The sequence below is a fragment of the Homo sapiens genome, chromosome 7, assembly GCF_000001405.40.
Source record: "Homo sapiens chromosome 7, GRCh38.p14 Primary Assembly".
NCBI classification, from domain to species: Eukaryota; Metazoa; Chordata; class Mammalia; order Primates; family Hominidae; genus Homo; species Homo sapiens.
The window spans coordinates 29,318,983-29,341,733 of NC_000007.14; the positions used below are offsets into that span (position 1 = coordinate 29,318,983).

A 22,751-nucleotide genomic window follows, 5' to 3' on the forward strand; every position below is an offset into this window, starting at 1 on the left:
GTGCACACCGCAAGCTGACTTGTTCTCCACTCTTTGTCCAGTTGGGAGGCAGCCCCTCCCCTCAGACACAGGGCAGAGGCTAAGACGGGAACTGAGGGAGAAACGGGATGCTTCTGTAGGACATGGTTTCGTGCATAAACATGCAACTATGTGTGTGAAATTTGCACATTTAAAAGCCATTGTCTACCATAAACTCTTATGTACTTCTTGGGAGTTTTGTAAAGGTCTTCCTGCATGAAACATTTTGATGGAATCATCACAAAAAGAAAAAGATTCAAGCATCAGTTCTCAGCACGTCTTTGTTAACAAAAATAACACAGATCGCTTTAAGTACTAGGCTCCAAGCGAGTTGAGGTTGAGTGATTTCTACATGTTGAGGGGAGGAGGAGGAGAAAAAAGTTGTGGGTGCAAATCAGCTCAGCACCTTCATTATTGGTGCAGAAAGTCAACTATCACCTTATTTTTATACTAGCACCAAAGTGTGCTTTGTATTCTCTGGAGCCAGGCATGGTGCATGGTGCTTTCCCAGATGTCCTTTAATTTAACATCCTGTGGACACTGTTCAGATACAATGCAGCTGCCAAAATTGTTGATTTATATTTGATATAAGGTCAAAGGGTCCAGGAGCTCTTTTGATAAAAGATAACACTAGGTTAGCATGAGATTTCGCTGTCAGATTAGCACTCCCGAGTTGGCCTCCATTTCCACAAAGCTACTTTATTTCCAGCATTTCTCTTCACTCCCATGGGTGCCTGAGGCTGTCTGTTCACAATATTGCAGTGTTGGGATTTTCTTACAGGGCCGTGGCTCATCTGGGCATTTGTTTACTCTGGAACCGAGTGGCACCAAGCCCTTCGTCACATCTAGCTTTTTCACAGTGAACGAGCCAGTGTTGTCGTGACCAGTGCCTTTGTGCCCCTTCCCCTCCCCGACCTCACTGGCCCTGGCTTTTGGTTATTTCTGCATTTTCGTGACTCTTTACTAGAGAAAAATATGTGTAAAGTGGGGAATTGATGAGTAGGTTGCTGGTCATCAATATTCAGTGAGGAACTCTGCTCAGCACTTACATCAGCTCACTGAATCCTTCCAGTCTCCCTGAGGAGTGTGTCCAATAGATTTCTCTATTAAAGAGGAAGCAACAGAGGTTTAGAGAAGTGAAAGCATTTCCCCAGGGTCAAAACCAGAAAGTGGCAGAACTAGATTAGAACCACATGTCGTCTGCCAGACCAGAGCAGAGCTCTTAACCACCATGCCGAGTGACAACATGAACTTGAGACACAGGAGAATTGGGTCCCAGAGCCACCAAACTGTGGCTTCTAATTTTTGCAGTCTCTGTCTCAAGGGAAGATATCCATTTGTCACCCCCTCGCCCCCTGCAGGGGGGTGCTAATCAGGTTGACAGAGCCCTGCAGGTCTGAATAACAAGGGCATCCTTGCAAAGGTTTGCCAGGGTGGCTTTTTGATGGCCTCCCCACAGATTTGTGATCACACATTTTCTGCAACTTTATTATAAAAAATTCTCTTTATGGAAAGAGAGAAACCCGAGTAAATATGAAAGAAACATCAAAACCAACAGAGCAATTTCTAGGATATGGCATCATTCCTCACTCACATCTAACAGCTAGTTGGATCCCAGATGCTAATTGGAATAGTAGTAATATTAATGACTGTTCCCAAATCTTGTTATCAAACTGTCTCGTCACCCACACTAGATGCCTATTTCCCTGGGGTTCTGTCCTTGCATGCTTTCTTTCTCTTTGTCCTGGCACTCCTTCCAGGATGAGGGAACATCTTTTTCTGTCAGGTGGTGGCCACCTGGTCCATTCTTTCCAGTCTTCTCACATGTTCTTTCTTCCTTTCACCTCATATCCTGTTTGCAAAGGTGAATCTGCTGCAGGCATAGAGACCACATGGGTCCCATCTCGATTTATTCTCAGGCACCAGAATCTGAATCACTTAAAATGAGGTCCAATACTAGGAGCAATTGGTAAATTTCTCCCTCATGGGACATTCTAAAGTGGCTTCTTTTAAAACTTCCTTGAGAATGAGATCGCTTTAAAACCTCACTATTTATTTTACAAAACGGTCTAGGGAAGATGCTTACAGATTGTTAGCAGTTCTGGTTGCAAAGCTTCATTACAGAAAATAGTTGAAAATTTTTTCAGAAATTAAGATTCTGGGTTATCTGTGCATTTCATTTATACATGCTTTTCTAATATTGTCCCTCTTGTGCAGACAACCCAAGATCTTATTGCAGGTGAGTAGAGAATAGATTTGTTTCAGCCACCATGCTAAGAGCTTGCTGTGCTCAGCAGTCTATAGAGTGAAAATGGAGACTCACATGGAACGCACATGCCAGGGACCGGGCACTAATAGGTAAGCTGATCTATTCCTCACAGCCATCCTCTGAAGGAGGATATACCTCTATGATCCTCGTTTTATAGATGAGGAAGCCAGGCACAGAGCAGGTGACCCACTTGCCCAAGGTCACCCAGCTCATGAGTAGTAGAGCTGGGATTTGAACTCCAGCAATCTAATTTCAGGGACAGTGCTTGAACCGTCTTTTCTTTTCTTTCTTTCTTTCTTTCTTTTTTTTTTTTTTTTTGAGATGGAATTTCGCTCTTCTTGCCCAGGCTGGAGTGCAATGGCACAATCTCGGCTCACCACAACCTCCACCTCCCGCGTTCAAGTAATTCTCCTGCCTCAGCCTCCGGAGTAGCTGGGATTACAGGCATGCACCACCATGCCAAGCTAATTTCATATTTTTAGTAGAGACGGGGTTTCTCCATGTTGGTCAGGCTGGTCTCGACCTCCTGACCTCATGTGATCTGCCCGCCTCAGCCTCCCAAAGTGCTGGGATACAGGCGTGAGCCACCGCGCCCAGCCAAACCCACTTTTCTATACCTTCTGACAGACAAGGAAGGTTTAACACCTCCTTTGCAGATCTTATGGATTAGTCAGAGAGACATTTGCCAATCTAATTTAAGGCATACTGTGTTAAATACCATAATAGAAACATAAAATAGAGTGCTCTTAGCCCTTGGATATTTTCATGTGTTGTTAAAAGCCATTTTGGATCTGCTTCCCATCCCAGAGAATTATCAACCCCTCAGATAATTGAGGAAAATGAAGTAATATGAGGTAAAGGGCTATTCAAACTGGCTTTGCTTGTCAGTCACCACTCCTAGGGGCCAAATGGCTTTTCTCACATCGTTTCCTAAAGGCTCTGTTTGTCTCCACCAGCAGGTCTCTGCCTTCCCTGGAACGAAATGTGTGGGCTCAGTCCTTGATTATGGTTGCTTTCAAATGCTTTGTAGCAGGGGCAGTGTCCTGCAGAAAGGTGGGATGTGGCTTTAACCCATGACAATAGAGATTGGTAAAGAACCAGGTTACAAATTCTAAACCCCACACCCCTGTGATGATGGAACAGCCTTTGCCAAATCTCCCCAAGCTTCTCCAGCTACAAAATGGGCAAAATAAAACTTCTCTTTCTCCTCCTCCTCTTCCTACTCCTCCTCCTCCTCACCTAGTAGGAGTATTGTGAAGATAAAAAGCAATAATTGGTGTGAAAATGCCCTGAGCTCCATAGATGAAAGCTCTCTATAATGTCAACATATCATTACACTGACTTTATTAGGATTTCAATACGGTTCTGTGGCTCATAGAAGTAGCTCTTTCAGCTGGTCATATGAAGTCCTAGGTCTTTACTCCACAAAGGAATTATTTACTGCAAATATAGTCAGGTCAACACTATTCCTAGTCAGGGACGGCCTAGAGTTAGAGGATAGACATGCCTCGATTTGGGAAGCACTGTGTAGCCATGCCTAACAGCTTCTTGTAATGGGGAACGACCTACCTCCTGAAGCAACTTTTGGAGACCACTAGTGTGCTTCCTTGTGGCTGGGTGCGGTGGCTCATGCCTATAATCCCAGCACTTCGGGAGGCCAAGGATCACGAGGTCAAGAGATCGAGACCATCCTGGCCAACATGTTGAAACTCCATCTCTACTAAAAATACAAAAATTAGCTGGGTGTGATGGCATGCACCTGTAGTCTCAGCTACTTGGGAGGCTGAGGCAGGAGAAATGCTTGAAACTGGGAGGCAGAGGTCGCAGTTGAGCCAAGATCGTGCCACTGCACTCCAGCCTGGCCAGAGAGTGAGAATCCGTCCCCCCCGTTCCCCCCCAACAAAAAAAGAAAGTGCTTGCTTGTATTGGCACTGGTTCTCTTTCTCTGCAGCCTTGGACTTCGCAGAGCACATCAACATCTGACCTTTCAGATGTTTGAAGATGGATACCCTGCTCACTCAGAGACATTGCTCACTCAACTTTCTTCAGTTGTGTCTTACATGATGAGGTTTTGAATCCTCTCCTCCAGACGTATTCCAATCCCAGAACTACACTCCAGGTAGTCTGACCAAAGCAGATGGCCCCCTCATTATTCTGCTACCACAGCCTAAGATTACAGAGTTTTTGGTAGCTTTGTCATACTTTACTGGAACAGCCTGAGGGATTCTTCCTGCCTGCTACATAAAGAAAGACCACAGCATTGTAGTAAATAAAGTGCTTAATAGACATGAGGCCGCCTCGCCACGTGGGAGATGGAGTTCATACTTAAATCATCTCATCAAACTTCCTGAGTTAGGGGTTTTTCAAAGGCAGTTTAGGGGGAAGGGTGGGGTGGCTGGGCTTGCTGCTGATTGGTTGGGGCAGAGATTAAATTATAGGGGGTTGAGGCTGGGCGCGGTGGCTCACACCTGTAATTCCAGCACTTTGGGAGGCCGAGGCGGGCGGATCACGAGGTCAGGAGATCAAGACCATCCTGGCTAACATGGTGAAACCCCGTTTCTACTAAAAATACAGATACAGAAAAAATAGCCGGGCGTGGTGGCAGGCACCTGTGGTCCCAGCTACTGGGGAGGCTGAGGCAGGAGAATGGCGTGAACCCGGGAGGCGGAGCTTGCAGTGAGCAGAGATTGTGCCACTGCACTCCAGCCTGGGCGACAGAGCGAGACCCCGTCTCAAAAAAACAAAACAAAACCAAAAAAAAGAAAAAAAAAGTTATAGGGGGTTGAAGCTGTCCTCCTGTGGGTTGAATCACTTTTGGGAGGTGGGGGGCGGGCACAGGAGTGGGGTTGGTGGGTCCATTGGAGCCGTAAGTGTCAAGACATTCAAAACACTTGAAAAGATATCTCAAAAGGCCCATCTTAGGTTCTACAATAGTGATGCTATTTGCAGGAGTAGTTGAAGTTGCGTATCTTACAACTTCTGGAATCATGGCTGATAATCGTTTACACCTGCACCTTAGCAGCACGCATGCATCTCTTCTCCACACAGCCTGATGGCCTCCCATTAGCTTTATAAAAGTGATTGAATTTTGAGGGAGACCTTTTATCATTTAAACCATAGCCTAAATGTCTCTCAAAGTCCGCTTGGCCCAAAAGCCCAGGAATAATTTAGGGAAAGGCAAGATAGGGGTTGGGTTAGTTCAGCTGTTACAATTTTTCTCACTGATAGAATTTTTGCAAAGCCATTTCATTACTGTTAGAGTGACACTGTTGACAATCTCTGCATCTGTACCATATGTACCCCTGCTAGATCGTGTCTTCTAACATCAGCTGTGACTTTTTTTTTTTTTTTAATTTTTGACAGAAAGTTACATCTATCTCTCAACTGAAAATTTTATTGAATTTGGTGCCAAGCTATTCAGGTCTTTTTAAATCCACATTTTGCTGTCTAATATATTAACCACCCCCTGCAGGTGGTAATCCAAGCTTCTGGGCATTTATTCTAGAAAGAGTAAAGGGTTTATTTCTTGTAAATATAGGGAAGTTTAATTTGATCCACTGTACATGGATAGTTTTGATAAGAATGCTCCCTGCTTTTGATTAAATATTCCCTGGGATAAGAACAAGAAATACTTTCCTATCAACTAATGCATGCCCTTTGTAACTCTATAATTGTCAATCATCAAGTTATTGAGCTACCTGTCTCTGTGTCTAAAATGCTTTGCTGAAGTCCCCCTTGTCTGCTTCATTTTCTCTGGTCTCTCAGGTTTGTGGATTGGGTTGGCTCCTAGGGCACCACCATTTTTGACTCCCTTTACAGTCTATCCATTATTATTTCTGGGATCAATTTCTAGCTGAGCCACCTGTACCTTTGAGAATTCTCCCTTTCTCCCTTTTAAAAATTGTAGGCATTTGCCTAATTCCTTGATTCTGTCCCGCTCTGATGGATCATGTCTTCCTCAACAGACTCTCCCAGCGGGTTGGCCATGTCATTTGATTTTCCTCTAAGCCCATGACACAGTTTGCCCAGATGTGAGATTTGAATTCATTTGGAGCAGTAGATGTTTTCGTCCTACCCATTCATCACGCCTTGGGGTCTGCTTTCTTTGTTTTGTCCTTGGCAATCCAAAGGCACTCCTCCTTAGTAGGAAAGCCAATGGCAGCTGGAAAAGGAATTGAGCGCTCTTTTTGACCTCCATCAGCACCATACTATGAAAGGCAGCCAATTGTCTCAGGCCTTCTTTGATGTTCTCCTGGTTCTGAGCCTCACAAAGTTCTTTCAAATGTTACTTTCAGTCTTTAAGTGAATCTTATTAAAATGGGAGTACCTCTGAGAAGGGTTATACTTTGAAACATAATACAACCAGTGAGGTGCTAATATCTTTGCAAAGCTGCTAACTCAGCCTATGCAGTTGCAGGAGTGGGTGTGGCTTTTAAAGGAAAACACCCTGAATTGCTCACTTACGGCTGGTCTGAAAAATGTTTCCTTCCCAGGACACTGTACCTGGCACCACTGAATGGTGAAGAGCCGCCCATTTTCTTTAGGGGAAATGCTCCATCTTGGAGTATGTTTGCAGGAACTGAAGTAAGAGATGTAGCTGAAAAAAACTTGAATTAGGAGTTAGGAAAACTGGACCATATTTTCATGATCTGCTTCTAAATAGACTCTGAGACCTCTGTGTCCTTCTCTATAACATGAGAACATTGGATCAACTTTAAATCATCTGTAAGGTCATTCCCAGCATGTGATTCTAAGATACTTTCTCCTAATCTTATCCCGTCTTTACCACTATAGTTGGCTGTGTGTCCTATATGCAAGTCACGTCACCTCTTTGGGTCTTCGTCGATTTTAGAGAAATTATTGTTTGTTTGTTTGTTTGTTTGTTTGTTTTGTTGTTGTTTTTTTTTGAGACGGAGTCTCACTCTGTCGCCAGGCTGGAGTGCAGTGGCGCAATCTCGAATCACAGCAACCTCCGCTTCCTGGGTTAAAGCGATTCTCCTGCCTCAGCCTCCCGAGTAGCTGGGACTACAGGTGAGTGCCACCATGCCCAGCTAATTTTTGTATTTTTAGTAGAGACGGGATTTCACCATGTGGGCCAGGCTGGTCTTGATCTCCTGACCTTGTGATCCGCCTGCCTTGGCTTCCCAAAGTGTTGGGATTACAGGTGTCAGCCACTGCGCCTGGCCAATTCTTTGATTTTCTAAAGAGCTGCATTCCATGGAAGCCTGGGTAGAGGCAGGATGGACATGTGGAGAGACATCCTGTCCTCCCTTGTCCCTGTTCACCAGAGCAGCTCCATACTTACCTATTGGTCTTCTGCCTAAGCTTTCATTTGAAGAAAGGTTTTTGTTGTTGCTTTGTCTTATTTGGTTTGTTTTGTCTTTTCCTACTAATGGGCTTGTCTTTGTAGTGTCCATGTAGTGTAATATCATAGATGACTCTGAGGACCCCATCTAGCTCAAAAATTAGATATTGAGCTCCTTGAGAGCAGGGATCAGACTTGTCATTCTACCTCCACGATCCTTCATAGAGTATAGTAGGTGTTCCACAAATGCTTGTTGGATGAATATGTACTGATAATAATAATTATGAATGAGCTCTTATTCCATGCTAGGTATCCAGTGCTTTAATGGGTTACCTCAATTAACCCTTAAATTAATCCTATAGGATAGATGTTATTCTATCCCATTTTACAAGTATAGCAATGGAAGTACTTAAACTTCAGATGAATGGAGGCAACCTGATATATCTGAGAACCAAGGCTATTAATCACCTTGCTACATGGCCTCATTTCTGCCTATAGGACATCTGACTTAAGTCAGGGATGAGGAAGCTGGAAAGCAAAGCCAACAGGAAGGGAAGCACCAGTGTGGAGATAATGCTGGAGAGAGGGATGATCCTGAGGTGTATGATAAAGGGCTTTGAGGTGAAGTAGAAGGTCGGTTTCACAGAAGTGAGCTCCCCAGACCACTGACATAAGCATCCCTTGGGAACTTTTTAAACATGCAAATTCTCAGGCCCCATCCCAGACTGTTTGAACCAGAAAAGTTGGAGATAAGGCTCAGGAGTTTGTGTTTTGCTAATCCCTACAGGGGACTCTGATGTCTGCTATTGAGGGCCATTGCTGTGGATCAGCTTCAGGGACTTCGGTTTTGCTTCTGGAGAGTGCCGAAACTTCTAGTTTTCTCACTGTTGAGATAAAATATTTTATATCTGGAGCGATATTTAATTCTTTTCCATTTTTAAGATAAGCCTAAGCAAGATGTCTGCTTGGACTGGAGACTCTAAGTATCCGATTCCTTCTTTTTACCTTCTGTTTAGTCTGTAACTTGAGGCCCATCACTTAAGTCCTGATTCTTTGCCTGTAAAATGTGGTTAATGACGCGGTGCTCCCATATTGGGATAGCCAGAGAAGTGTGTAATTAGTGGTTGTGAAGCATCTGGAGCCTAGAGCGCCGTATAAATGCTATAGGATAATAACCAGTTTACGGCCTTAAATGCTGCCTACAACTTGACACATTTAAAATTTCTTCCTTGAATCGTAAAGTTTAAAGTTAATTTAACAGTTTGGTCTTTGCACTTATTTTTTATTCATTTTGTAGCCGGAATGTTGTTTCTTTGTGCTTCTTTCAACCTTCCAGAGAAAATGGGTAAGACAAAAAAAGTTTAAAAAATCAGCACCTTCAGAGAAAATAACCTCTCCAAAGCATAATGTTTGATTGTCAGACATGGATTCTATAGACGTTTTGAACAGAAAGCTGAGATACTCCATAGGCACAGAGATAGTTAGTGTCCATGAAAATGCTTGTTCTTTGAGACTCCAGCCTGTGAGTCTTTAAAGAGAGTTCATCCTGGGCAGCGTCTTCATTTCTGCTCGGCCTTGTAACAGTGACCCTCCTCCTTGGATCTGGAACCCGAGAAGTCTGAATCGTATTTTCTACATGGTCATTCTTTATTTAACTTAGGCAAACACTTCCTTTTTTAGACAAGACTGCTTGTCCAATGTACACACTCATTTTAGATTAGATTTGCAAGAGTACAGGCTAGTTCATTTTACTCTAGTTCAAAGTCTTTTTTTCTTTCCCCTTAGTCTCAAGCCGATGAATGGCCAAAAAAGACTGAGATGAAGATATAACAAGAGCATTTCTTTTGAGAGTTTAACTTGGGCTGAATTTATATAGAGAATGCACATGTGGATAGATAATCAGAGAAACGTGTATAAAAGAGGCTTTTATACCAACAGTATGGTGTGAAGAAAAAATTTTTAAATGCTAAATAACCATAGTTTTTATTTTGTATATTATAACTTTAATACTCAAGCATAATTACTAGGCAGGAAAAAAACCTTCACTCTTTTATTACCATTTCCTGACATTTTAAATTACACACTATTGCTGAATTAAAAAAAAAAAAAAGAAACAGCAGAAAAAGGCTAATCCAGACCCTGAATCAACATACTAATTTATAAATCGAGTCTCAGGTAAACACGGTTGTTTCTCCTTGTGCCTTATGCTGGAGGTCAAATGCTTACAATAGCCTAAAATGACAAGTCGAGACATGTTTTCGTAATTGGAAGTTAAAAAAAGAAATTCCACCATCTGTTGATGAAAAGAAAAGTTTTGCAATAACTGCTGTCATTTCTGAAGAAACATCTCTAAATTCTTCAGAAAACAGTCATGGTGCTTATGACAGCTAAAAATCATTTGGGGCACCATTAACTGATTATGAACTACCTGAAGAATCATGCTCATACTTAAAAGGGCCACATGGAATCCTTTTAGCAGTTTCACAACTGTCTGGGGTTATTCATTGCAGACTGAAAAATGTTGCTTTTTCAATTCCAAGTAAGTCAAAATGAATGGGACAGCAGATAGACTGGAAGGGAAAAGGAGGAGGAAAAAGAGACTCCCTCCTCTGCACTTTGAAGATCATTAGCCCAACCCAAGAATGGCTTCTGTTTCTACTGAGCTTGATCACGATTTGCTATGCACTACAGTGAAATGAAATAGTAGTATGGCTGGCAAATTATGAGTGTTGACAGCAAACAGACAGGAAGAGTTTAACTCCTCCTTACCTTCCACACTAGCTTTAAACCTTCAGATAAGGCAAAAAAAAAAAAAAAAAAAAAAAAAAGTCAGCAATTGGGACAGTGTGCCCTTCATAATAGAACATGGGCCAACCAGAGATTTTTCTCATTTTTTGATCACCTATCTTCTCTGGGCCTGTCTTTTCTTATCAGATGTAAATTATTTGTTTGCAGCATTTCTGAAATTGCTGTAAGAAGATCAATAGAAAAGTGGTGAGGAAAGAATATAATTTCACCGCCCTCACTCTCTGAAAGCCAGCTATTCTCGAGTCGTGTGTACTTCCTGCCAGTTCAGTAATAATTAATGTATAGTGTGTCTGTAAACTGCAGAAACAGATTAAGAAATAAGTGCATTTTTATCATTGTTTGGATGATCCTAAAGCGTTTTAATATTATATTGTTTAGTCGGCAAATCTGTACAATAAAGAAAACATGTTTGAATTAGGTCATTTAAAGTTTCCTCTTATAACTCTTAAAACAGGAACTGTGGCTTTTCAGAGAAGAAATATTTTCCTTGAGGAATCTAGATGACAGTTTTCTGTGGTTTCTCACTTTTCTGAACTCCCAGAGCTCTCACTGTCTGGACTATTCATATCTCACCTTTCAGTACCTATTTTCATGTGCTTGTTAATTCTCTTTTTATGCTCTAACCTGGCCAGACTATAAACTCCTTGAAGGTAAGAATCATCTTCTATATTTCCCTATTTCTCAAAGTACCTACGTCAACAGCTGGTCAGGTTGTTGTAATAGGATTTTATGTATTTAATCACATTTACTGATGTAACCCATTTCTTATTGAAATAATGTGTTCCACCTCAGTGTATGTTCATATCCTAAAGTCATCTTGAAATGTATTATGTTTCCCAGTCTCTTTTGTAAAATAACAGTGGCCTCATTCAACATAGTGGTTCGTAGTAAAGTGCTTTCCTACTGGGCTCTGGGTGTATAAGATGATTACGATATTGCACCGTTGACCTTCATCCCAGTGCACAGGGTCAGATTGGGTCATTTCTGTGTGAGTACAGTTGGGAATTGTTACCACTCTGAGAACCTTACACAGTTGGACAACGTAAGAAAAAGAGAGTCCCCCGCTTAGATGGTTTTTATTTATTTATTGCAATTAATGAAGAATTCATGAAGGTGGCCTTGCTGAAACTTGTCTTTTGAAAGTAAATTTGGCCTCTGATTGACCTTCCAGAGACAAATTCATGTTCTTGGATGTTGTGTATAAGTGTGTGTTTTAGAAAAACAAAGTAATAATTTAGCATCAAGAACATATCATTGAAATTCTTAGAAATCCCATAATTGCAGCTGTGTGCAGGCGTATTATATGAAGAAAAGGAAAACAACCCCTTAACTTTGAAGCCTTGCTTGTGCTCAGAATACATCACAGAAAAGGAAAGGGGAGAGCGTTGGTGGTGTTATTGCTTTTATTTTTAGAAAAAGTAGAGGCTCAGACGAAAGTCCCGTTGCATACAGTGAGTCCATTTAAAGGTGTATGGTATAGCATGGGAAGTTTATTACAGATGTGAAATTAGGTAGTACGTAGCAAGGATCAATGTTTATTCATACTCTAAATTTAACCCATTTAAACATCGCAGTGGGGAGTGAATTTGCTTGTGGGCCTGAAATTCTCCCTACGCTGCCATGTGGAACAGAGACAGAGTTATGGAAAATGTAGAAGGATGTCCAAGTTCCCTCTCCTTTTGGGCAACGTATATGACTCCAGTTTATAAAAAGCAAGTCAGATCACTACAAAAAATAAATTATCTTAGTCATACTCAGGTCTTGTCTTAGCCTTTGCTATGGTCTAGGGGGTGACGGAGGACATCTGTCAAGGCCCTGTGGGGACAGAAGGCACACTCAGCTGGGATGTTGAAGAGCAGTTAATGGAGGGTCTGTTGACAGAGGTGTCGGCAGATTGAGAGAACTAAGAGAGTCTGAAGCATCTGGGAGTGGCCAAGAGTGGGAAGCCATTCCCAACCCCGGGTCTGGAGGGGGCAACAAGAGGAAATTGTGTTACTGGAGCCTGGGGACGGCTAGAGCCACAGAAGAGGAACTGGGACAGTGGTGGCTGTAGGGGGTCCAGTCTGCTGCCTGAACTGCAGCACTGGAGCAAGGAGAGAGCAGTACCTCCGGCATTTCTCCCGCCACCCCCTCTTTCCTGCCCTGCCTTCCATTGACTGAACCTGAAGCCAGAGGAAACGGAATTGAAGTAGTGTGGTTGGTAGAGGTCAACACCCTGGCATGGAAGAGACCCCTGGGAGAAGCAGACACTACCCCTTGTCGGAGAATCAGTTCTTCCCTTCAAAATCGGGAGATTATGAACAGTGATTTTTCATTGGATTGACTGGGAGAGGGAAGGAGTGCAGAGGGTGGTTAAAAGAACACAAGTGCAATGTTCCCCTAAGAAATACAATTTGGGGCCAGGTGTGGTGGCTCACGCCTGTAATCCCAGCACTTTGGGAGGCCGAGGTGGGTGGATCACGAGGTCAGGAGTTTGAGACCAGCCTGACCAACATGGCACGTGCCTGTAATCCCAGCTACTCAGGAGGCTGAGGCAGGAGAATTGCTTGAATCCAGAAGGTGGAGATTGCAGTGAGCCAAGATTGCGCCACGGCACTCCAGCCTGGGCAACAGAGCGAGACTCTGTCTCAAAAGAAAAAAAAAAAAAAAAGAGAAGGATAATTTGGGTGAAGATTTGGCTTGTGTGATCTGAAAGAAAAAAGGCCAATATTCTAATATGATTTATATCCATCCAAAGGAGAAAATAAACAGCCTCATGGAGCAGCGGTTGAGAACTCCCGCAGTGGCGCGAGACTGTCCAAGCTCCACCCAAGCTTGGCCCCTTACCAGCTGGGCTTTCTGGGGCAATTTTCTCTCTGAAGCTCTGTTTGCTCTCTTTTAAAGTAGGGAAAATGATCGTGCCTACCCTGTGGGGTTCTTGGGAGGCTGAAATGAAAAGATAATTGTAAAATACTTAGCCTGGAACAGAGCACTCTAAATACAGCTGCTAGCTGCTAATACAGACAATCCCCGACTAGTCAGGTTCAACTTACAATTTTTTTACTCTATGAGGATGCAAAAGCGGAATGCATTCAGTAGGAACCGTACTATGAATTTTGAATTTTGATCTTTTCCCGGGCTGGTGATACGGCCTAAAATGCTCTCTCGCAATGCTGGGCAGTGGCAGTAAGCCACAGTTCCCCGTCAGCCACACGGTCTCCAGGGTAAACAGCCCATCCTCCACAGTGTACTGTGTTGCCAAGTGATTTTTGGATAGTATATTTTATGTTATTCACATCCCATCATGTCTACAAAATGTCCATCTGTGTAAAGTATTCAATACTTCATTATGAAGTAGGCTTTGTGTGAGATGATTTTGCCCCACTGTAGGCTAATGTAAGTGCTCTGAGCACGTTTAAGGCAAGCTAAATGGTGTTTGGTAGGTTAGGTTTACTAAATGCATTTTTGACTGATGATATTTTCAACTTATGATGGGGTTATGTGGACATAACCCCATCATAAGTTGAGGAGCTTCTGTACTCTACAGAGACGACGGCTCGATCTTGGCTTGGGATCCTGTCTAGGAAGATGTCCTCTCTGCACAGGGAGTCAGAAAGGAGGTGAGGATAACGGCATGGAGTATTCATGTTCATTCAAAGGAAACATGGGCTGTAGTGGGCTGAGAAGCACCCACACTCTCTCCCTTCTCACAGCTCAGGGAGAGGCATGCTTCTGTCTCCGACAGTGGTAGTCTGTGGAGCTGGGAAGTAGGAAGTAGAGAGTAAGTGAAGGATGCTAGGTTCCCAGCAGAACAGAGCTGGGCTGGGGTGTACAGAGCAGCAATGGGAACAGGGGAGGCACATCTAGTTCTGTATCCCATCCTCCACGGCTGTCCCACACCAGGCGTCAGTGGAGGACTATGCCACCATACCCTGACCCGCCCTTTTCTGAGCCAACAGCTGCTAAAGCTTCATGCCGGGGCTGCTGTTGAAAGATGTCTCAGAGCCCTGCTCAGAGTCTTGTTCTCAGAAAATGACCATGCTTTGGAGAGGAGATGACACAGTGAGTGGGAGAGGTACATGCAGCTAAGAGCATTTCAGGAAGAAATTGGGGTCTCTTGAGGAAAAAGGATCCAAAAAAGAACTACAGATGAAATTGATTGCTTTAAGTTAGCCCATTCTATTTGTATAGTTTTAAAAATAAAAACTGGAAGCAGGTTGGATGAACATAATGCGCTAGCAGACTTGGGAATTAGGGGCAGAATGCTGCTCTAAATTCAGGAAATCATGGCACGGTTTCATATTGAACATGGTCTATTCCTACCACTAGCGCTTTCCTGGCTGATTTCTTCTCCAGCTGGAGACTTCTTTCTGGTTTTCCAATTTATGCTCCACCCTCACCCCAACCCACCCATAAACCAGTGGCTGCCGGAAGCAGTATCTTTCATAGTGGTGAGTTCTGGATTTTCAGCAGTAATGGCCGAGAGTCAGGGACCAGATGAGTGTGTGTGAGCTGGTGAGAAAAGGTAGATGATGATAGAAAATGCGCAGTGCTGTGTGCATGGAGTCCTGCAGTTCTGGACATTTTGAAGATTACCTGGCTTTTGACAATCAATGGATTTGACCACCTTGCTATAAGAAAAGATTAAATACATCTCAAAAGCCAAATGATAAATTCAATTTCTTTTCTTTTTTTTTTTTTTTTTTTTGAGACTGAGTCTCCCTCCATTGCCCAGGCTGGAGTGCAGTGGCGCGATCTCGGCTCACTGCAACCTCTGCCTCCCGGTTCAAGTGATTCTCCTGCCTCAGCCTCCTGAGTAGCTGGGATTAGAGGCACTCACCACCATGCCCAGCTAACGTTTGTATTTTTAGTAGAGACAGGGTTTCTTCATGTTGGCCAGACTGGTCTCAAACTTCTGACCTCAAGTGATCCACTCGCCTTGGCCTCCCAAAGTGCTGGGAGCCTAAATTCAATTTCATAGTGACTATTTTACCCTACATGATGAGTGTAGAAAATGTTGGCATATCAAGTCATGGCAATTTGACATCACAAAGCCACAATGGTGAAAAATTAGAAACATTCTTAATGTAATTCTGTGTGGAATTCTGTGGTTTTAGAAGTTTCAGCCAGGCACGGTAATCCTAGCAATTTGGAAGCCCAAGGTGGGTGGATCGCTTGAGCCCAGGAGTTCAAGACCAGCCTGGGCAACATGGTAAGACCCCATCTCTACAAAGAGTTCTAAAAATTAGCCAGGTGCGGTGGTGTGCACCTGTGGTTCTAGCTACTCAGGCGGCTGAAGTCGGGGAATCACTTGAGCTCAGGAGTTTAAGGCTGCAGTGAGCTGTGATTGCACCACTGCACTCCAGCCTGGGCGACAGAGCCAGACCCTGTCTCAAACAAACAAACAAACAACAACAAAAAAGGAAGTTTCATGCTTGTCGTGACTCTGTCCCCTAAGTGTAACGGCTAGGGTCAAAGGACTAGAGTGGAGTGGGAAGGTCAAATGCAGAAATACCCCTCCATGTGCGGACAGGAAGATGTGCAGGAGTGTATTTGTATACTTAGTGTTTGCATTGTTTCTAAGACATTACTGACACCCGGAATGATTCATTTCCTAAGTGTTGAGAGATAAGTTATCTTAATCAGTGGATACCTTTTGAATAGGTTGAATATAATAGTTTTGAAAATATTGGTGACATAAAAGGCATCTAAAAAGACATCTAAAATCATCAGTAAACATTTCAATAGTGGTCAAGAACAGAGCATGCCTTCTTTCTGGAGCCATCTATTTAGGGTAGTGGTGCTTACGGGAGTGGAACAATATGGAGTCACTCATGCATTCTCTGTCATGGTGCTGGGCCCAGTAGAAATGCCTATTGCAATATAACAGATTAATTCTGAAAATAGAACCAATTCCTGAAAAGCCAAAGGTTGCATATGAAAACCTAAAAACAGCCCTTGCTGGAGGCTCAGTCTCTTGATCTCAGACATTACTACTAATTGGTATAAATGGTCTGATAAGGCCCAGAGAGGAGCACCCACTTCCTGCCATAGAGGGCATGAAGCTGTGGACATAGGAAGCTCTCAGTAAGTGCTTCTTCAGCAGACACAAGCACTGAGGATAAAGGACCTTTCAGTATGTTATTTAGGGAACCCAAATCTAGTCATTTCTGGCTGTTTTCTTTGCTTTTTCCTTTTCTAGTTTTTGAGTTTTGACAGCCAGATCCTCACCATACTAGTTGGTAGTCTGTACTAGAGCCTGCATGTGTCAGGTAAGGCACTCTGCAAATCCTGGCGAGGAAGGAGACTTACAATAAACTCGATTGTTCTTTTCCTCTTTAATCAGATCTGCCAGCTTGTGCCTGACTAGTCCTGTCAACATTGTGAACAGTGGAGATGGTTTGCCTCAGTTGCACTGTGCACTGTAAAAGCAGTACCAATGGCTGTGCAGACATTCCTAAAGAGAATCTTAGTTTTCTTCCTCCACTTTAATAGTGGTCACCCAGTGGGTTGAGCAAACAAACATTTATTGAGCACCTGGTGTGTACAAGCATTCGGCTCTGCTTTGGTGCTGAGGAGAGTAAAGCTGCCAGGGAAAACCGAGGGGACACACGGACAGCTCCAGTGGGGTAGCTTTGCAGTGGGACTCACACCTCTTCATTCTACCAGAAGCCAGAAGATACTCACTGGGGACAGTCGTGATGGGAGTTTTTCCATGAGCAGCAAGAGCTAATGGGCCGTTTGCCTACAAGAGAAGGTGGGACAGCAGATTCCTCCTGGAGAATCTCCCTTGTGGCCCTCTCATTGCCCTCTGACAGATTGCAAGCCTGAAATCTGTCAGCTTTGAAAGATTGCCTGACCCTCCAGTATTTGGCTATGTAAGACAGGTACTGAAAGACGGCTTTTGTTGAGGAACTGACTCCCAATAAAAATGGTTAACTATCCAGTGTGAGAAAACACGCCGTTGAGGCTGGGCATGGTGACCCACACCTGTAATCCCAGCACTTCGGGAGTCAAGGGTGAGGATCACTTGAGCCCAGGAGTTCAAGTGCAGCCTGAGCAACACAGTAAGACTCTGTCTCTACAAAAAAATTCAAAAATTAGCTGGGTGTGGTAGCATGCATTTGTAGTCTTAGCTTCTTGGGAAGCCAAGGTGGAAGGATTTCTTGAGCCTAGGAGTTAGAGACCAGGAGTTCAAGTCCAACCTGCAACATAGTGAGACCCTGTCTCTACAAAAAAAAATTTTTAATTAGCTAAGCATAGTACTGCACACCTGTAGTCCTTGCTACTCCAGAGTCTGAGGCAGAAGGATCTCTATAGCCCAGGAGTCTGAGTTTACAATGAACCATGATTGTGCCACTGTACTCCAGCCTGAGTAACAGAGCAAGATTCTGTCTCAAAAAAAAAAAAAAAAAAAAAAAAAAAAAAGCTTCACATGCAAACCAGAAAGTCTCCTTGCTTCTCAGAATGCTTGAAGTGAAAACAACAAGCATTCCACCTTTCTCTCCCTCCCTGGCACAGGGCCTGGCAAACTCCTACTCATCCGTCACTGCCCAGCTCCAATGTCATCTCCTCTGTGAGGTCTTCCTTGTTAGCTTCCCATTCGCCCCTGCCAGGAACCTGGCTCCTGTCTTCCGGCACCCACCACCCTTGCATGCACTCCTTCATACACTCCCCTCTGCTTGCTTCCCCTCTAGGATTGGGTGCTGCTTCAGGGAAAGGACTTTGTCATCTTTGTGTACCCAGTGCCTAACTTGGGATCAGGAATAGAGTGATGGGTAAATGTTTGTTAAATGGAGAGAGGAGAACATGAACAAATGATCTTTTATAAAGGCACAGGTGTGTAAATATACAATTCCTCCTTATGACCGTGCTGCTGAAAATAGATAAACAGAGGGTACCAGTACAAACAGCTTCAGACAGGAGCTAACTATTAAGGAAAGGTTTGTTTTAATTTTAGTTTCAGACTCTGGTAGTGGAAGTAGGAACTTTCACATGCTGCGATTAGGAAGACAAATGTCCCACTGTGCAAACAGCAAGAGGATATGACTGCTGCCAGCACGCAGTACAGCTGTCCCCAACTCTATGAAGACATGCAACACTCATAACAGCAGAGTGCGGAGAGGGGGTCTATTCTTCTCACTCTGTTATGTAATGTGAATACTTTCTCTTGCGGAAATCATTGGGACCACTTGTTGTTTGCCTTACTCTTAACCCTTTAATCATAGACCTACTGATGCTGTCACCCAGGCTGCCACGGGGTGACAGGAAAGCTTTCCTTCCTGCATACATTTGTTCAAGCATTTGGCATGGAAGTGATAAATGCATGCTAATGCAGAGCTTAATGTGGAGCTTTCAGTTAGCATCTTGCAGGTTGTGAGGGATTGTTTCGGCTGTTGGGTCCTTACTCTTGCTTCTTCCTGTACATCACAGACACGCTTCCTGTGCTGTTTGTTGCTCTGTGGTGTGGTTGATGGGGTGTCTGAAGTGTTGCTAATGCAGTGCGTGTGATCTTTAGAAATATTTTCCCTGAAGTTATTTTTAAAGCAAGTGATAAGAAACCACAGAACACCAAAACCCAGAAGGAAAGGAAAACTGGAGGCTCCCAGTCTCAGGAGGCTTCAAGAATCAGAGCCAACTAGACAGCCTGACTGGGCCCCATCTATTTTTACTGGTCTTACAGTAAGGGGTAAGGTTTAGGTTGGAAATAGATGAAGGCAGGCTTAATATACTTACAGAGAGACTGAAGTAACAGCTTGAATGTTGTGACATAAATGAGTTTGATTGCTATGATAAAATATGGTAGGTCAGTCTTCCCAAGATGACTATTGGGTGTACATGTTACTGGCCATAATTTATTCTTATGGGATACAAATGAGTTGGCCAACTTTGGGCAAGGCACCATCCTCTGTGGGCTTCAGATTCCAAGTCTGTAAGATGGGATAAGAGTACCCACCTCATAGTGCTGTTTGGAAATGAAGTGTGATAATATATGTGCAGTCCTAGGACATTGCAGTGTCTAGTATGAGAGACAGAATTTTGTAATGAAGAAAAGTATGCTTTTCAGATCCGGACAATGCTAGATTTGAATATTCAGCTTCACTATATGATTAATATATGTGATTATTTATGTGATTCTGGGCAACCTCACTATTCCTCTGTTTATTTGCCTGTACAATGGGACTAATAATACCTGTTTTATAAGCTGGTTGTGAGTTTTTTGTTTGTTTGTTTTGCCACAGAGTCTTGCTCTGTTACCCAGGCTGGAGTGCAGTGATGCGATCTCAGCTCATTGCAACCTCCATCTCCCAGGTTCAAGCAATTCTCATGCCTCAGCCTCCTGAGTAGCTGGGATTGCAGGCTAGTGCCACCATGCCTGGCTAATTTTTGTATCTTTTAGTAGAGACAGGGTTTCACCACGTTGGCCAGGCTGGTCTTGAACTTTTGACCTCCAGTGATCTCCCTCTCTCAGCCTCCCAAAGTGCTGAGATTACAGGCATGAGCCACTGCACCCAGCCCTGGTTATGAGTATTAAATAAGACACTGCATACAAAACATCTAACAACGTAATGAAAGACTATTAATAAAGGCTAAGATATCTACATGATATCTGTCAAAATTATCTTTCACAAAAGGAATGTTATCTTAGATTTTATTTTATACAAAGCCTGTCATACTATTGGATTACTCAGTTAATTTATTTTGAACCCTCAATTACATTCTGGAAAAGTCACAGTAGACTTGAAATGATGTTAATCAGGGATAGTTTTGGACCTTTGTAGTGGTCACTTCATGGAATCATTTTTAAAAAAGGAAGCTAAGAAATTTAACCTAGGTATATTTAAACAAGTGCTAAATGTAATTGTAAACAACCTTTTAAAAAGTTTGCTATACTTTTTTTTAATGTAAATTATGTAAAAGGATATAAGTGAAAACCAAATCTCCCTACCTCTCCTGACCCTCGGCCACCCAGATCTCCTCTGCAGACAGACACAACCTCAGCCCTTAGCAGTCTCTTCCAGACCTGTTTCATGCACTGAAACCCCGAGCTATGCCTCATTTTTAAAATTGAACATCTTGGAGAGCTTTCGATATTAGCCACCTCATTCCTTTTTGTGCCTTCATAGTATTCCACAGCAGATTTTAAAAGATATCTTTAAAAAGCAATATAACAATATTGTTTTTTGTTAGCCATATTATAACAATGCTAGCCGGGCACGGTGGCTCACGCCTATAATCCCAGCATTTTGGGAGGCTGAGGCGGGTGGATCACCTGAGGTCAGGAGTTCAAGACCAACCTGGCCAACATGGTGAAACCCTGTCTCTACTAACAATACAAAAATCAGCCAGGCATGATGGCACGTGCCTGCAATCCCAGCTACTTGGGAGGCTAAGGCAGGAGAATCACTTGAACTAGGGAGGTGGAGGTTGCAGTGAGCCAAGATTGCACCACTGCACTCCAGCCTGGGTGACAAGAATGAAACTCCGTCTCAAAAAAAAAAAATAATAACAATACTGTATATAATAATATAATATATATGCCAATATAGCAATATAATAAGGCTATGTTGTGGAGACCACCTTCAAGATGAATAAAATCCAGCTGCTCTTATATAATGTGAAAGTGTGACTGTAAGTGGATAAAGTGTCCAGTGGCAGCATTGGACAGGGACTTTACAATTTTTTTTCTTTCAAAAGATCAAGGAACAAGCAAGCATGATGTGCTGTGGGAAAAAATGTCTTAGATGACTAAAAATCATTTGAAGCTCAAATATACATGCAGAAAAATTGAAGTTGTTCCATGAAATCGAGTTGAAGAAAGCAATATTTCTAAATTTGTGTATTATTTTAAGCATGAGTTTTAATTTGTACAAATAACTGAATTAATGAATTCAGGTATATATGCCTATTTGAATTAAGTGTTATGAGTAAATATCTGACCATTTCCTTTATGTTATGAAAAGTTTTTATATTCAGAAATCTTTTGGGGGAAGATCTCATCAGGAAAATGCACACTGCCTTCTGCAGGGGGTTGCTTGGGGGGGGGCCTCAATATTTAGCAGCCCTGAACAAACAAATCAAACATTGCAGAGCAGGTCCAGGCTGAAGTGGCACTTTCATTAGTAAGGGCAGGCAGGAAGGCTATTAGCCATGTGTGCTTGCTAACCACTGAGCCCCCAAATTAAGCAGGTTTAACTGTCCTCCAGGTGCTGCAGAGCTAGACCACCAGGAAGGCAACTGTGTACCAACTGGACAGTGCTCCTACGGGCTGGCACAAAGCCAAGAGACAAATTGCTCCCACCTCCCCAGGGAGAAAATATAGGACAAGATAGAGGACAGGAGTTCACCTACTGAGTTTCCCTCACAGGCCAGGAGTGTGTTTTGGCATAAAGCATGTCCTCATTTAGACTAATTCTCGGCACATATATGGGACATGTAGGTAATTCCCTGGCACATAAAGGGTGCGCTTGTTTCCTTAAGGAAGGAAGAATGGCTTCACCACAACTGCTGGCACCCACATGCTGCCTTAGAACTTTTGAGTCACGTCAAACAGCTTCAATCACAGGGTCTGGGTAGGAGAATGCAGCTGCTAGGCGACTGAGAATTGAAGGCGTCCTTGAGCTTCCCACCAGGAGAGCGCTTACTGAGTGTCTAGCCCCGTCTCTATATTCACAGATGGGAAAACCGAGGCCCATGTGGGTCAAGGTTGAGGGAGTAGCCCCAAATCACCCAGAACTGAGAGTGGAGCTGGGGCAAGAAACCCACTGTCATCTTTCAGGTTCTTCTTGGTTATTGACAAGAGCACGGTTTTCTGCCTTGTTCTCATCCTTCCCCTCTCTAGAGCTCCCTCCTTCACGTGTGGAGGTACAGTCGGTAGCCCTCTGATAGTCCGTCCAGTTCCACTGCAGTGGGCTCTGATTTCAGCCTGTAAGACAAACAAGGATGTGGCAAGCATGGGCCAGAGTGACTGGCTGCCGACATGCCCATTCTTGATATGAATTACTACAATTATATTAACCGCACCAATTGTTATGGATGGTGCCAGTTGCGAGAAATGACTGTGCTAGATCAGAGAGCCCATTTGTTGCCAGGCCAGCACTGAGCACTGTATCTGTATAAATAGAGATCAATAGTATCTCTATTGACAATGAAATCTGGGGAAGAGTTGCAAGTAGTACCTGATATGCAGAGGATCCTTGAGGAAGAACAGGGAGGGACAGAAAGAGGGAGGGAGGAGAGAAGGATGGGAGGGAGAGAGGGAGGGGGGCATCTCAGTTAGTGAGATTTTACTTTATTTGTTCTAAAAGGTGGCAGAAAATTAAATAATGTCATGAGTTTTTTCTAATTCTCTAGTGCTGTTTTCTACAATGT

At 43.3% G+C, this 22,751-nt stretch overlaps 1 protein-coding gene across 12 annotated transcripts in view, besides 2 other annotated features; it reads left to right on the plus strand.

Annotated features, from left to right (window-relative positions):
* Positions 1-22,751, plus strand: part of CHN2 (chimerin 2) — a 367,738-nt gene that overhangs the window by 172,392 nt on the left and 172,595 nt on the right. For 2 of the 12 annotated variants that reach the window (XM_017011722.2, XM_047419839.1), the window contains one exon: positions 11,033-11,050. The exons of 9 other annotated variants lie outside the window; for them this stretch is intronic. In XM_017011722.2, coding sequence (XP_016867211.1) covers positions 11,033-11,050 — 18 coding nt within the window. Of the gene's footprint in view, positions 1-11,032; positions 11,051-15,552; positions 15,592-22,751 lie in introns of those variants that run through there. One more of the 12 variants, XM_047419841.1, reaches the window with a different exon arrangement.
* Positions 6,308-6,833: an enhancer, noted in NCBI's record as "NANOG hESC enhancer chr7:29364906-29365431 (GRCh37/hg19 assembly coordinates)". NCBI's record gives its function as "activates a minimal SCP1, AML or CMV promoter by ChIP-STARR-seq in naive H9 embryonic stem cells {active_cell/tissue: H9 hESC(naive)}" and the evidence as "EXISTENCE:reporter gene assay evidence [ECO:0000049][PMID:30033119]".
* Positions 9,118-9,318: a silencer, noted in NCBI's record as "peak6458 fragment used in MPRA reporter construct". NCBI's record gives its function as "represses an SCP1 promoter by STARR-seq MPRAs in K562 erythroleukemia cells {active_cell/tissue: K562}" and the evidence as "EXISTENCE:reporter gene assay evidence [ECO:0000049][PMID:32103011]".